The following is a 15,452-nucleotide window of genomic DNA, read 5'->3' as shown; positions in this document are numbered from 1 at the left end:
ATTGCTGAGAAGGGGTTCGCTCTCCAGAAACTGCATAAGCCAGGCTCCTTTGCATCTCAGGGAAGCCCTGTGACTAAGTTCTGTCTAATAGCATACAAAGAAGTGATGCACACCTCGGCTAGAACTGGCCCACAAAAATACCTTCACGATTTCCCAGGTGTTCTCTCTCTTGTAATCTACTAGCTGAATGGAGAGAACACCAAGGACCTAGAGGAGGGTGGGAGCCACAATGTCCTAGGGGTATGAGTCCTTGAATGACCACATGGAAAGCCACCTAACCAAGAACATTATACTCTGAAAATTTGAGATTTTTTTTTTTCTTTTGAGATGGAGTGTCACTCTGTTGCCCAGGCTGGAGTGCAATGGCACGATCTTGGCTCACTGCAACCTCCGCCTCCTGGGTTCAAGCGATTCTCCTCCTGCCTCAGCCTCTCGAGTAGCTGGGATTACAGACATCCGCCACCACGCCTGGCTAATTTTTGTATTTTTAGTAGAGACAGGGTTTCACCATGTTGGCCAGGCTGGTCTTGAACTCCTGACCTCAGGTAATCTGCCATCCCCAGCCTCCTAAAGTGCTGGGATTACAGGCGTGACCCACCACAGCCAGCCTGAGATTTATTTTCAATAGCGCTAACATTAACAAATAAAATACACTGGTGCTGGTCCTTGAAGCTGTGTCAGACTAACTCAAAGAGCCATATTTCCAGCAGCAATCCTATACTGTCTCCAACAATAAAAGCCCAAAGTAAAAATTTATGAAAAAAAAAAAGTGTCTGATTCACTGGGACAATAAGAATGTACAGAATCAGGTTTCACATTTTACTTAATTGTACTCTCCCTGGAAGCCTGAATGTCTGTGTGTCTCCACAACGCATGTGTGCCATTCCATATATCCTGGAAGTGGGAACTCTAAGTCCTTCAGCTTACCTAAGAAATGACTTTGTCCAAGATCCTCCTGTTCACATTTGATCCTATGGTCACAGGCTCAAGCCTAACTCCTAGACTCCAGTTTCACAGCATCAGCCCCGAACATCCTGGGCAGGAACTCACTAGGGAGGATGCTCTGAGAACCTCAAGCTGTCTCTCCCATGTCACTCAACCCCTCCCAGCAGCCACCTAGGTAATAACTGGTTGGCAATTCTTATTTAATCACATTTCTTAAGCCACCCTCCTGAGCCAGTCTCTGAAAACCTGCCCTTTCAGATGCCATAACATGGATTGTTTTATTACAAAAGTAAGCCTGTTCGATGCATTTTACCCAGTCAGCTGTGGTTAAGAGGTTTAACTTTTGTAGATGCCTTGAATCATTAAAAACGACATCATCTCAGGCTTTGAGCCAAAGTACCGTAAAACCCAAATCTTCATAATGAGAATTACTATAACATTGTCGGCAGATCAAACTTCTCTATAGTTTGCTTGTTCATAAAGCTGCATTAGCTCTTTAGCAAGCAAGACACGTACATCCCTATTCTCCAGTGAAATAATAACAACACATATCTCATAAGGCTCAGTACAAAAATAAAAATAATGGCAATAATTGTTAACAGTTATTGAGTGCTCTCAATAATAACATTTCAAGAATTAGAAGCCACAAAGAGTAGTGGGAAAGGTCCCAACCATGAGTCAAACCTTCTGCAATCTAATCTCTATTTTACTTTAAACAGCAATGTGACCTTGGGCAAATCACGTAAGCTTCAAATTCCACATCTGTAAAATGAGAATATATAAGCTGCCTTTAATATAAGGTTGCTGTGGAAGATCAAATGAGAGATTCTGGTAAGTTGTAAAGCATACCATTTTGGCCTGGGGCCTACACAGAGGTAATCTTTTGATGGTTGTGCCCTTTGTTGTTCATGGCACGTTACGGATTAGAAAATATTTGACTAAACAAATAAAATAATTTCTGAACAGTTTTGAAAGTTGACAACTTCCATGCTCTTTTTGAAATGCCTGATTTTTCTTTTGCTGTGATAGCATAGCATAGTCAGGACCAGCTATATAATTTGCAGAACCCAGTGCAAAATGGAAATGCAGAGCCCTGTGTTCAAAAAATATTCAAAAGCTTAAGATGGCAGCAGCCACAAAGCATTAAGCTAAGTGCAGAGCCCTTCTAAGCATAGAGCCCTGTGTGACTGTACAGGTCACATGCCTGTGGGTCTGACCCTGAGCATAGGTAAGCAAACAGGTTTGGGAGCTAAATCACTTGGGTTCAAATCCCAGGTCTCCCACTTATTACTTCTGCAAGTTACTTAACCATTGTCTGCCTCAGTTTCCACATCTGCTAAAAGAGGGTAATTAGAGTACTCTTCTCAAAAGATTAGTGTGAGGTTGAAAAACTATTTTCATAAAATGCTTAAAATTGCCACATGGAGAGCACTCAATAACTGCTAACAATTATTGCCATTATATTTACTTTTGTACTGAGCCTTATACATGTTATTATTATTTCACTGGAGAATAGGGATGTATGTGTCCTGCTCACTAATATGCTCCAGGGCCTAGTACAGAAGCTGGTGCTTTGATTGTATTAAACCACTGAAAATTTGAGGTTGATCTGCAATAGCAACTCACATTGCTTTATTACACTGGTACTGGTACTTGAATCTGTGTCAGGTGGACTTAAAAGTTCATTCCGTAATTCATATACTATCCCCTTTCCAGCATTAAAAATCTAAAGTGGAAGGTTATGGAAAAAAGTGTATCAGTGTCACTTGGGCAAAAAGATTATGTATAGCAACAAGTTTCATATTTAACTTAACTGTACTCTCCCTGGAAGACTTGAACTGTGTGTATACATGCATGTCTGCCTTTCTCTGTTTCCTGGGATTAGGAGCTCTAAATGCTAAGAAAAGAAAAAGTGGCTTCACTCAAGACACTCCTGTACACAGTAAACATCTCCCCACCCTCAATTCTGTTAAGTAAATGAATGAATAAGTAAATGAATTATCATTTTACTCATGAGGAAAATAAGGTTTAGAAGGGTTTAATAACTTGCTTAAATTGACATAACTAATAAGTGGTCAAGCCAAGATTTCTAAAAATTTGTAATCTTTTACTCTTTTACTGCTTTCCAAACATATTCTCTCCCATCAGTTGCTTCTTCAACAGGCAGAGTCTTTGTTGAACTATAGCAAAAGTATAATTCAGGGCATGGAGGTAAGTCCAGTTTCTAGCCTTTTTCTTCCCCACCCAACCACACTTAGCTCCATCTGATTATCATCAGATATGGAACTTAGACATTCATTTTGGAACATGATTCAAAAAAATAAAAAAACACCGTGTATTGCTTGCTCTGGTTTGGAGAACTCAATTGTTGGAGTAAGTCAGTCTGACTGCCTGATGCAAATAATGGTTTTAAAGTAATCACTTTAATAATGAATAAAATCATAGTTTTGGAAAGAGGTGACACAATGTGTACAAGTCACCATCCCAGTGGAATTTTCCACAAGGAAAAGATCTATTTACACTTTATTTACTTAATGCATGTTCTGGAAACTTCTCTGACCCTGTAACAAAGATGGCAGTTCTCACAGCTTTGGTCATCATGTTATCAGTCTAACATAATGATAGCTACACCATATTTAGAGAATTGGAATTCTGCTGTGATGCTTCTCAGTAATTTTATAAGCAGAGAAAATATGCAAATATCTAGTATGATAAAATTTGACAGTATAATAAAATTTGTTGGCCAGGCTCAGTGGCTCGAACTTGTAATCTCAACACTTTGGGAGGCCTAAGTGGGGGATCTCTTGAACCCAGGAGTTTGAGATGAGCCTGGGCAGGATAGTGAAAATATATAAAGATAAAGTAATAAAATTTGTCCTAAATTTAATCCTGTGTAGTATTACTTTTTTTTTTTTTTTTTTTTTTTAGATGGAGCCTTGCTCTGTCACCCAGGCTGGAGTGCAATGGCGCAATCTCGCCTCACTGCAACCTCCACCTCCCAGTTTCAAGCAATTCTCCAGTCTCAGCCTCTGACTAACTGGGATTGCAGGTACGTGCCACCATGCTTGGCTAATTTTTTGTTTTTTAATAGTAACAGGGTTTCACCATGTTGGCCAGGCTGGTCTCAAACTCCTGATCTCAAGTGATCCACCCGCCTCGGCCTCCCAAAGTTCTGGGATTACAGGTGTGAGCCACCGCACACAGCCCCTGTGGGATTACTTCTAATGGAAAATCTGACAGTGTTAGCCATCAGCAAGCCAATAGATTCTGATGGAATTGTAGGTGGGGAAATGATCTGATATTAGAGAATGGATGTTGTTAATAGCTTTACCCATCAAAACAATGTTGATGCATCTATTTTGGCAACAAAGTGAATCTATCTTATTATATCATGTGACAGCAAGGGATTGACAGTACTCACCACCACCTTCAGAAAGTTTTAGAGATAGATTCAGAATATTAGATTTCTGTTAACTACTTAAATAGCTGTGAAATCATACCTGCTTGGAAAACATAGTAAAGATAAGGTAAACTTTACTCTGAAGGGTTTTTTTCTTTTAAAATACACAGAAAATATTTTATAATTTATCTTCTATGAAGACATCATATATTTTATTGGTGAGAAAAGAATCATAGATGGTCATTTGTGATATGTCCAATGTTATTGTCAAATTAGTTCTGAAGAAAAGGTAGAGAAGAACCCAATATTCTTTTTTGGTTGTTTGATTTGCAATCCATAGACCACACTGATCTATGAGATAGTATTAAGCAATTAAAAGAATATATGACTTTTCTACATCAAAATTTGAAACTTCTGTGCATCAAAGGACACAATCAACAGAGTGAAGAGGAAACTTACAGAATGGGAGAAAATATTTGTAAATCATGTATCTCATAAGGATTAATATCCAGGCTATGTAAAGAACTACATCTCAACAACAAAAACACAAACAGCTTGATTAAAAAATGGGCAAAGGACTTGAACCAACATTTATTTAAAGAAGATATATAAATGACAGTAAGTACATGAAAAGATATTATCACTAATCATTAGGGAAATGCAAATCAAAACCACAATGAGATACCACTTCACACCCATTAGGATGGCTACTATCTACCACCAACCCCCCCAGCCAAAAAAAAAAAAAAACCCAGAAAATAACAAGGGTAGGCAAGGTTATGGAAAAAATGGAACCCTTGTGTACTGTTGATGGGAATGTAAATGGTATAACCAATAGCAAAGGCATGGAATCAACCCAGGTGCTCATTAACATGGGTTGGATAAAGAAAATGTACACATACACTGTGGAATACTATGTAGCCAGAAAAAAAACCAAAATAATGTCTTCTGCAGCAACATAGATGCAACTGGAGGCCATTATCCTAAGCAAACTAACACAGAAACAGAAAACCAAATATCACGTGTTCTCACTTATAAATAGAAGCTAAACATTGGGTAAACACAGACATACAGATGGGAACAATAGATACTGGAGACTACTAGAGGGAGGAGGATAAGGACTGAAAAACTACTTACTGGGTACTATGCCTACTGGGTGATAGGTTCTATTGTATCCGAAACCTCAGCAGCACTCAATATACCTTTGTAACAAACATGCACATGTACTTCCTGAGTCTAAAAGTTGGAAAAATAAAATTAAAAATTAAAAGTAAAAGGGTGTAGCCACTGTAGCAAACACTATGGCAGTTCCACAAAAAATTAAAAATGTAGTATATGATTTAACAATTTTACTTCTGAGTATATACCCAAAGGGACTGAAAGCAGAGTCCCAAACAGATATTTGTACATCATGTTTATAGCAGCATTATTCACAATAGCCAAGGTGGAAGCAACCCACATATTCAACAAATGAATGTGTGAACAAAATGTGGTATATACATACAATAGAATATTATTCAGTCTTAAAAAGGAAGGACCAGGCACTGTGGCTCACACCTATAATCCCTTTGAGAGACCGAGGTGGGCAGATCACGAGGTTAGGAGATTGAGACCATCCTGGCTAACACGGTGAAACCCCGTCTCTACTAAAAATACAAAAAAATTAACCGGGTGTTGCATCGGGTGCCTGTAGTCCCAGTTATTTGGGAGGCTGAGGCCGGAGAATCGCTTGAACCCGGGAGGCAGAGATTGCAGTGAGCCGAGATCGAGCCACTGCACTCCAGCCTGGTGACAGAGTGAGACTGCATCTAAAAAAGTTTAAAAAAATTAAAAAAAAATTAATTCTTACACATGCTACAACATGGATAAACCTTGAGGACGTCATGCTACCTGAAGCAGGCCAGTCATAAAAGGGCAAATATTGTATGTTTCCCTTTATATAAGGTACCTCCAGTAGGATGGGAGCTAGAGGGAGAAGGGAATGGAGGTGAATGAGTACAGAATTTCAGTTTTGCTTAATGTAAAGAGTTCAGGCTGTAGTGCAGTGGCACAATTATGGCTCACTGCAGCCTCAGCCTCCTGGGCTCAAGTTATCTTCCTGCCTTAGCCTCCCAAGTGGCTGGAGTTACAGGGGTGCACCGCCACACCCAGCTATTTTTTTCTTCTTTTAGAGATGGGATCTCACCATGTTACCCAGGCTGGTCTCAAACTCCTGGTATATATATAAAATGGTATAACCAATAGCAAAGGCATGGAATCAACCCAGGTGCCCATTAACAGTGGATTGGATAAAGAAAATGTGGTACATATACACTGTGGAATACTATGCAGCCAGAAAAAAGAACAAAATCACGTCTTCTTTTAAGTGATCCTAAGTGATCCTCCCACCTTGGCCTCCCAAAGTGCTAGGATTACAGATGCAAGACCACACCCAGCCCAAGTGTTAGATTTGAGGTATAATTCAGAAGTAAAGTTGGGAGAATATACTTCTAGATCAAGTGCAATGAGTAATAGGTTATTAACCTAAACAACTAGAAAAATAGAGTTGCATTTTACAATACGGGAAAGAAAGGAGAGGGACAAGTTTGAGAGAGGTAGAATGAATTTTATTTGAACGTGCTAAATTTGAAGTGCCTGCCAGGTTTCTAAATGGAAATGTAGAGTTGCACATTGAATATGGGAGACTGAAGTTCTCTGGAGAGATCCCAGCTAAAGACACAATTGTGGGAGGTGGCATTATATAGATGTCATTTAAAGCCATGGAACTAGGAAGAGATCATTTAGGCAATAAGGGTTAGTAAAGAACAGAAGAGGCAGGCAGGCTGGCTGCTTGCTGCTGGGTGAGAAGGCAATTTTCTATTATAGACACAGATTTCTACAACGCCCAGATCAGAAATATACTTGTAAATTTTGTGAATGTTGTAAATATACCAAGGATCATTGAGTTGAATTTGTTAACAAATCTGTCATGCCAGTTGATTTATTTCTATAATTATAACATTTAAGTGAAGATTAGAAAAACTAATTGATATAAATTTAAAATTAAGACCTGTTTCTTTGAAAACAAATTTGAAAGTGTTACATATACTCAAGAATGGCAAATTGCTAAAAAAAAAAATCTGTAAAATTAAGTTTGAATATGACAGTAGGACAACAATAAGAGGTTAGGAAAAAATGAAAATATGAATAAATTCTGCATGCAAAATGCTTTGCTTCACAGTGTCTTTTATTTCTTGTTGTAGTTTAAAGAACTTAAACTGGAAATAAAAAATGAATTATGAATGCAGTTTTGTACAAGAAAGATGACATAGGACTCTAACCAGTCAGTCTATATTCAAAAGAAAGGCCTTGGCCTTACGTCAATATCTGAAATGTTGGTATATCCACTGCTTTTCTGGCATGAAAAGAAAGCCAATAGCAAACTGTTGAGGATTGTCACCCACGCCCCCTTCCTACTTGCCTTAATTTGCAAGATAGTGAAGAGCAAAATTCAGGACAATGTTAACGCTACTTAAAAATCCAGCATCTGGTCCTGTCACATTGGCTCACTCCCGCAATCCCAGGACTTTGGGAGGCCTAGGCGGGCAGATCGCTTGAGCCCAGGAGTTTGCGGCCAGCCTGTCTAACAGGGTGAAAGTCTGTCTCCACCAAAAAAAAAAAAAAAAAATTCAAAAATTAGCCAGTCATGGCGGTATGCGCCTATGGGAGGCTGAGGCAGAAGAATCACTTGAACTCGGGAGGTGGAGGTTGCAGTGAGCCGAGATGTGCCATTGCACTCCAGCCTGAATGACAGAGCAAAAGAGCAAGACGCTGCCTCAAAAAAAAAAGAAAATAAAAGAAAAGAAAAAAATCCAGCATCTTGTTAGAGGAGAGGAGACCTGGGAATATACAGGTGGAAAAAGTCAGATAGAAAGTGTCTCCTCTGAGGAGCCAGGCTGCCTAACACAGTGATATGCCCGGGCTGCCCTCAGGAATTTGTGAGCTATGGGCAGGGTTAAATGCCTGCATTTGAACATTCAGAAAAAGACCAATCAAAGCAAATGTGTGCTTTGTCATTTGCAAGTGGATTTATATCATTTACTTTGGTTTGTCTTTGAATCAATTTTTTAAATACAGGCTAATCAGAGGGAATTTATATTTATAATTTTAATTAGCCTGAATCTCAGCAAATCTACAATTTCAAAAATGCAGAATACCATGTTTTGTCATCTAATATAAACAGGTTTCTCCGAAGAACCTCATTGGAAATCCCCAAGATGTTAATTTACACTCGTGATTTTACTATAAAACCCTACTATCACCTACTGAGGGCTATTTGGGGAACCACATTTGGCAAAGCTCCAAGAACACTAACAAACATTCGCAAAATTCCCTCATGTTTCTTTTGTTATTATAATTATTTATTGTGAGAAGACACACGTAATACAAAATATACCATTTTAACTTTTTGTTTTTTTGAGACGGAGTCTCGCTGTCACCAGCCTCCTGGCTTCAAGCAATTCTCCTGCCTCAGCCTCCCGAGTAGCTGGGATTACAGGCGCCTGCCACCATGCCCAGGTAATTTTTGTATTTTTAGTAAAGACAGGGTTTCACCATGTTGGCCAGGCTGGTCTCAAAACTCCTGACTTCAGGTGATCCGCCTGCCTCGGCCTCCCAAAGTGCTGGGATTATAGGCATGAGCCACCGCGCCCAGCCTGTTTTAACGATTTTTAAGTGTACAGTTCAGGGGTGTTAAGTATATTCACATTGTTGTGTAATCCATCTCTGGAACTTTTGTATACTCTTTAAACAATTCCATATTTTCCCCTCTCCCCAGTCCCTGGCAATCACCATTCTACTTTCTGTCTGTAGGAATTTGACTACTCTAATATATATATATATATATATATATATGTACAATTTTGTAGAGATGAAGTTTTGCCATGTTGCCCGGGCCAGTCTTGAACTCCTGGACTCAAGCAATCCACCCACCTTGGCCTCCCAAAGTGCTGGGATTACAGGCGTGAGCTACCATGCCCGGCCTCTATCTCATATAAGTGGAATTATGCAGCATTTATCCTTTTGTGGCTGTCGTATTTCACTTAGCATTCATGTAGTAGCATGTGACAAGATTTCCTTCCTTTGTAAGGCTGAATAATATTCTCTGGCATGTATATACCACATTTTGTTTACCCATTCATCCATTGACGGACACTTGGGTTTCTTCCACCTTATCTGTGTTATGAATAAAGCTGCTATGAACATGAGTGTACAAATATCTCTTCAAGACCCTGCTTATTTTGGGTATACATGTTACCATAATTTGTATATAAGTTTTATAATTTTAAAACTCTTCTCATTATTATCTTCTATATTAATTTGTACAATTCGAATGATGGAGCTGTAAGGGAGCATACAGATAATCTGGCCCAACTCTCTCATTTTTTCAGATGAAGAAATTCACACCCAGCAGGCTTTAGTGGATATGGTCTCACAATTAGTTTGTGGCAGGATTGAGACTAGAACCCAAGCCTCTAAACTAATCCAGAGTTTTCTAGAATACAGGCCTTCCCTGTGGCCACCTGATATTAATATTCACCCTCACTTCTGCTTGAATCTAAAAGGCAATCAATCTTGTATTCTCCCACCTACCATCTTACTTGACAAAGTAAGTCCATATTTTGAAAAACTGGATGAAGTTTTAGTGTCTGTGCCTAAATGAATAACTTTTAGCTCTGCAAGATAATTAACTGGCAACTAGCAATGTGTAGGTACGTGCCTCCTAAAACTGGCTTTAGCATCAAAACCAAGACTCCCCAAATAAGATATGCTATAACAAAGTTTTTTGACTGTTGTTATTTGTCATGGCAAATGCTCACAGAGGAATAATTAAATTCTAAACTCACACTAGGTGCCAGGCAGAGGTATACCGGAGCTGGCTCATACCAGCCTGCAAGAGGTGATTGCGCCCATCTCTTCCCAATTCCAAGTTCAGTGACATCACATGGGTAGCTTGAAAGAATGTTAGGAGAATTTACACCATGGAAACTGGCAAACGCTGCAAACACTGCCTCCCACCATCACAGACAGCCAGTTATTAAGCATTTATCAGCACATTATGTTGCCAGGGACTGTGCTCAGAGTTATTGGGGGGAGAGGCAGTAGCAGTGTTATGTAGTCAAGCTTATAACTGATAAACTGTAGTCATTTGGAAAAACAGAAGCAACGCAGAGGAGATGGGAGTGAACCAAGAACATAGTAACCACCCTGAACCTCCTCAACAAACCCCAGAGGGACATGTCCCCAGAGGAGATGCAGAAGCACGGGGAGGAGGGTCCACTCTGTGCTCCGCAGTCAGTCAAGAACAACACTGAAGTGCTCACCAACTACTGACAACAACAAGCTGCTGGGCTGCGAAGGCCTTGAGTAGACACTGCAACATGGTGCTGGAGAATGTGAAGGAGATGTGTACTGAGGTCCCCAAGGGGGGCAACGGTGGCAAGGGCAAGAAGAAGTCCAAGCCAGCCAACAAAGACCACTTCATCTCCAAGCTCTTCCTGTGCAGGGACTCAGTCATCACCAACAAGTGGGGGCCACCTCCCCATTGACAGAACTCACTCCCTCATCCTATGAAGACCTACCCTTTGTTATGGGGATAATAAAGCCCTGTGCTTTTTTTTTTCTAGTAGTAAAAACAAAACATAACAACAACAATAAAACTTTAGTCATTTGGTCATATTAGGGAAGTCATTTATTATTCTGTTTCTTCAGAAATAAAAAACAGATAACAAAAATATTATCTATTTCTAGGGATGTTGTATTTAACTATTAATAACTTGTTAAGCAAGTATCCAAAAAGAGACCTAATCTATATATTATACTTACCTGGTTTGTCATATCCAATTTGCATGAAATATAAGACTCTTCAAAAAAGAAGGAGCCAATGTGTGTGGCATATGGAGATTAGGAAACTTACTCTGAGGAGAAAAGAATTTACATACCTGGGGCACAGACTGATTACTGAGGGGAGGGATATTTTGAGGTATGATTTTGCCAACCCACTTAAGTACCTTTCTGTAAAGCCCCAGATAAATTATAAGGAATTTTAAGAATATGGCTTTTGGCCGGGCACAGTGGCTCATGCCTGTAATCCCAGCACTTTGGGAGGTCGAGGAGGGCTGATCACGAGGTCAGGAGATCGAGACCATCCTGGCTAACATGGTGAAACCCCGTCTCTACTAAAAATACAAAAAATTAGCCAGGTGTGGTGGCACACGCCTATAGTCCCAGTTACTCAGGAGGCTGAGGCAGGAGAATTGCTTGAACTGGGAGACGGAGGTTGCAGTGGGCCAAGATCATACCACTGCACCCAGCCTGGGCGACAGAATGAGACTCCGTCTCAAAAAAAAAAAAAAAAGAACGTGGCTTTTTCAGAGTCTAATAAAGTCATTATAATCCAGGTGAAGAAGAGATCCCAGTGGAAATTGTGGTAGGAGTCACAAGGTCATCTCAGTGGGCAGACTAAGGTAAGTCTCTGAGATGGAAGAAGGAACAAGAAATTGAGCACTTCTTGGGGGGTAAAACACCAAGAAAACTCAAATGTAGACAATTAGAACTTGCAAGTTACCTGGGCCAACCCAGATAAGAAAAGACAGTTTCTAGACTGGTTGCTGGATCCCAGTGACCCTGCTGGATATGGAATCCGACCCAAACATTATATTATCAGTGAAGTTATTACCTACACCCTATGTTTCCCCCAAGAGGGATGGTTTAGGAAACAAAGGCTTATAATGATTAAAAGAGTCAGAAAATGACAGTCTTCTCACCAGATATGCCACATTTGATGTCCACACATGCAAAAACGTAAGTGTTCTTTCTCCTTACTCTTAAGTCCTGTTGATTATCTTTTGCAACATCTCTTACAGTGCCAGGAATATAGTTGCCCCTACCTACTGATTATTTAACAAATAAATCAATGAATCCCTTTGATATGGTTTGAATCTGTGTCCCTGCCCAAATCTCATGTTGAATTATTATCCCCAATGTGGGAGGTAAGGCCCTTTGGGAGGTGATTTGATCATGGAGGCGGATTCGCAAGAATCGTTTAGCACCATTCCCTTGATGCTGTCCTTGCAATAGTGAGTGAATTTTTAGGAGATCTTGTTGTTTAAAAGTGTGTAGCACTTCCCCCACCCCCGGCTCCTGCTTCAGTCATGTAAGACTCCTCACTCCCCTTTTGCCTTCTGCCATGATTGGGAGTTCTCTGAGGCCTCCCCAGTAGCAGAAGCCACTATACTTCTTGTACAGCCTGCAGAACCATGAGCCAATTAAACCTCTTTTCTTTATAAATTACCCAGTCTCAGGTATTTCTTAATAGCAACGTGAGAATGAACTAATACACCCTTCTTTCCATTTCCACCACCAATACCCAAAGTCAAGAATAAATGAACATATATTTAGTACCTGTGATGTCCAGTTAAGAGCCAAAAAGACAGCAATAGGGTTCCTCTCTTCAAGGAATTTAAGGTCAATAAAAGGAACTGAACATACCATAGCAATAGCCTTGTAACTGGTTTCTACTTCTTCCATCTCTCGCTACTCTAACCCATGCCGTTTGTGCTAGTAGTTTCACTGTCCTGAAATACGCCTTTGATCGCATTACCCAGCCAATTGTCTCTATAATGCTTTGATGTTGGTAATAGATAGTCCAAACTCCTCAGGCTAGCTTTGAAGTCACTGGTCCAGGAAAATTCCCATTGAAGCTCCTTAGTATTGCCCACAACTCATGATGTCCCTTTTCTATCTCAACTAATTGTACCATTGTTCATTAAACACACCCTGTACTTCTATCCCTTGAAAATATACCTTTCCCCTACAAATGACCCCCCCATTCATTTTTCATATCCAAATCCTTTCTGCCTTTTAAAATCCTGTTCACATTCAACCTTATTCAGAAAATCTTGTCTCTACCTCATAAGTGAGTCTCATTTATTTATTCAACAACATATGTTAATTGAGTCTTTACTGGTTGCAAAGGAGCAAAGGACTATATTCAGTGCTAAAGATGCATGCATTCCCTTCTTGGGACTTTTATTATCTTCTTTATCCATAGCATTCCTTTAACAATAATTGTCTGCTTCCCTATAGCATCAGTTTTACTGTTTTAAGAGAGAAATTGAGTCTTTCTTATTAGATCCTGTACAGTATCTTACATGTAATATATTCTTAAATTATTATTGGCTTGATGTGAAATAGAAATTCTGGTCCTGTTTAATCTTGTCTTCACCCAACGAATGTCTGTAAACTCATGAAGAGCCTAATGAAATGATTGAAACTTCCCAAAAGTTAAAGAATGTTACTTATTTCTACAATTCAAGGAAATTTATTTGTAATGTCTATGGAAAGAATTGATATCTGCTCTTTTCCCAAAGTGAACAATCCATTCTTTAGTGTGAAAAAGTCTACCCTTGTCTTCACAGTGGCCAGCATAAAGTGCTTAAAGCACTGGATTTTAGCACCTACTATCATTATTACATGTTGCCTTGTGGCTTGTGAGCCCTGTATTCTAAAAGTCATGTTTAAAAAAGAGTGTGGTTTATTTATTTTCATAGTTTAGTTATTTGCTTAGAAGATGAATATATTATAAAACTTTTAAAGTGTAAGTATACATGTGTAGTGGGTCTGTAAATTTCATTCACACTACAACTCACATATGCAAAGAAAATGTTTAATTTTCTCTGTAACTGATTTGATCTTCTTCACTAGCCTCTATTGCCTGGGTAGTGTGACATAAACCTTAAGTTTTTGCCTAATGCTGTTGTTAACTGATACAATAACTTAAATAGTAAATGTTCATTTTTATAGATAAAAATAATCAGTATCAGATTTCCTCTCTATCCTTTCCTTGCTTCTCTCCAAGACAGGAAAATGTGTGGCTGGCTGTGGCCTTGTGGCCACAAAGGAAAACTTCCTCAGAAACTACAGTGTCCTTGTACTCTTTCCTCTGACTTCCACAATAACGACCACATCCTCCAGGGTACAGCTTGCCTTTACAGCATCCTGGGGTCTGCAGTCAGTGTAATTTGTAGCTGGGTATCTCTCAGCTGGGTCAGAGGCTAGTAGAGCTCCCTGCATAATTTGGCCTCACTAATATTGAAGATTCTTCTGCATTTTTATTCTGTGTTCCTTTATATTCTGGCCCAGGTGGCCGCTTCTCAGCTGTTATAACTGCTTTTTACATATTAGGCCCCTGTTTCAGGACCACCAGTTCTCAACTCAGCTACTTGCCATGTCCTCTCTTAGGGGCTTGTAGGAACTTCTCAGTCCTTCCCAAGGCATCCAGAAACAAAGAGTAGCTTAAAAAGTTTAAAAACTGCCTTTTATCTGTCTCTAAACTGATCCACCAATTTTAATCTGCTGTGGCCTTGACCAGCTTAGGTGGAAGAAGGGATATTAGAACCCATTATCTCCCTACCTTCTCCTTTCCTTTTTTCCACAATACCCAAGACGGAAAGGCCACTTCTACTTTCCCCTTTCTTTTTTTTATTATTTTTATTTTTATTTTTTATTTATTTATTTATTTTTTTTTTTATTATTATACTTTAAGTTTTAGGGTACATGTGCACAATGTGCAGGTTAGTTACATATGTATACATGTGACATGCTGGTGCGCTGCACCCACTAACTCGTCATCTAGCATTAGGTATATCTCCCAATGCTATCCCTCCCCCCTCCCCCCACCCCACAACAGTCCCCAGAGTGTGATGTTCCCCTTCCTCTGTCCACGTGTTCTCATTGTTCAATTCCCACCTATGAGTGAGAATATGCGGTGTTTGGTTTTTTGTTCTTGCGATAGTTTACTGAGAATGATGATTCACTGGCCATCAGAGAAATGCAAATCAAAACCACAATGAGATACCATCTCACACCAGTTAGAATGGCAATCATTAAAAAGTCAGGAAACAACAGGTGCTGGAGAGGATGTGGAGAAATAGGAACACTTTTACACTGTTGGTGGGACTGTAAACTAGTTCAACCATTGTGGAAGTCAGTGTGGCGATTCCTCAGGGATCTAGAACTAGAAATACGATTTGACCCAGCCATCCCATTACTGGGTATATACCCAAAG

At 39.6% G+C, this 15,452-nt stretch overlaps 1 pseudogene across 1 annotated transcript, besides 1 other annotated feature; it reads left to right on the top strand.

Moving 5' to 3' along the window:
• Positions 7,559 to 8,060: an enhancer, noted in NCBI's record as "NANOG hESC enhancer chr1:231614566-231615067 (GRCh37/hg19 assembly coordinates)". NCBI's record gives its function as "activates a minimal SCP1, AML or CMV promoter by ChIP-STARR-seq in naive H9 embryonic stem cells {active_cell/tissue: H9 hESC(naive)}" and the evidence as "EXISTENCE:reporter gene assay evidence [ECO:0000049][PMID:30033119]".
• On the top strand, positions 10,355 to 11,118 carry SNRPD2P2 (small nuclear ribonucleoprotein D2 pseudogene 2; annotated as a pseudogene). The gene has a single exon (NR_033826.1). The product of NR_033826.1 is annotated as a small nuclear ribonucleoprotein D2 pseudogene 2 (transcript).
• Positions 11,119 to 15,452: the final 4,334 nt, after the last annotated feature.

This window comes from Homo sapiens, chromosome 1 (assembly GCF_000001405.40).
Source record: "Homo sapiens chromosome 1, GRCh38.p14 Primary Assembly".
Classification (NCBI taxonomy): domain Eukaryota; kingdom Metazoa; phylum Chordata; class Mammalia; order Primates; family Hominidae; genus Homo; species Homo sapiens.
This window is presented reverse-complemented; position numbering and strand designations above follow the sequence as displayed.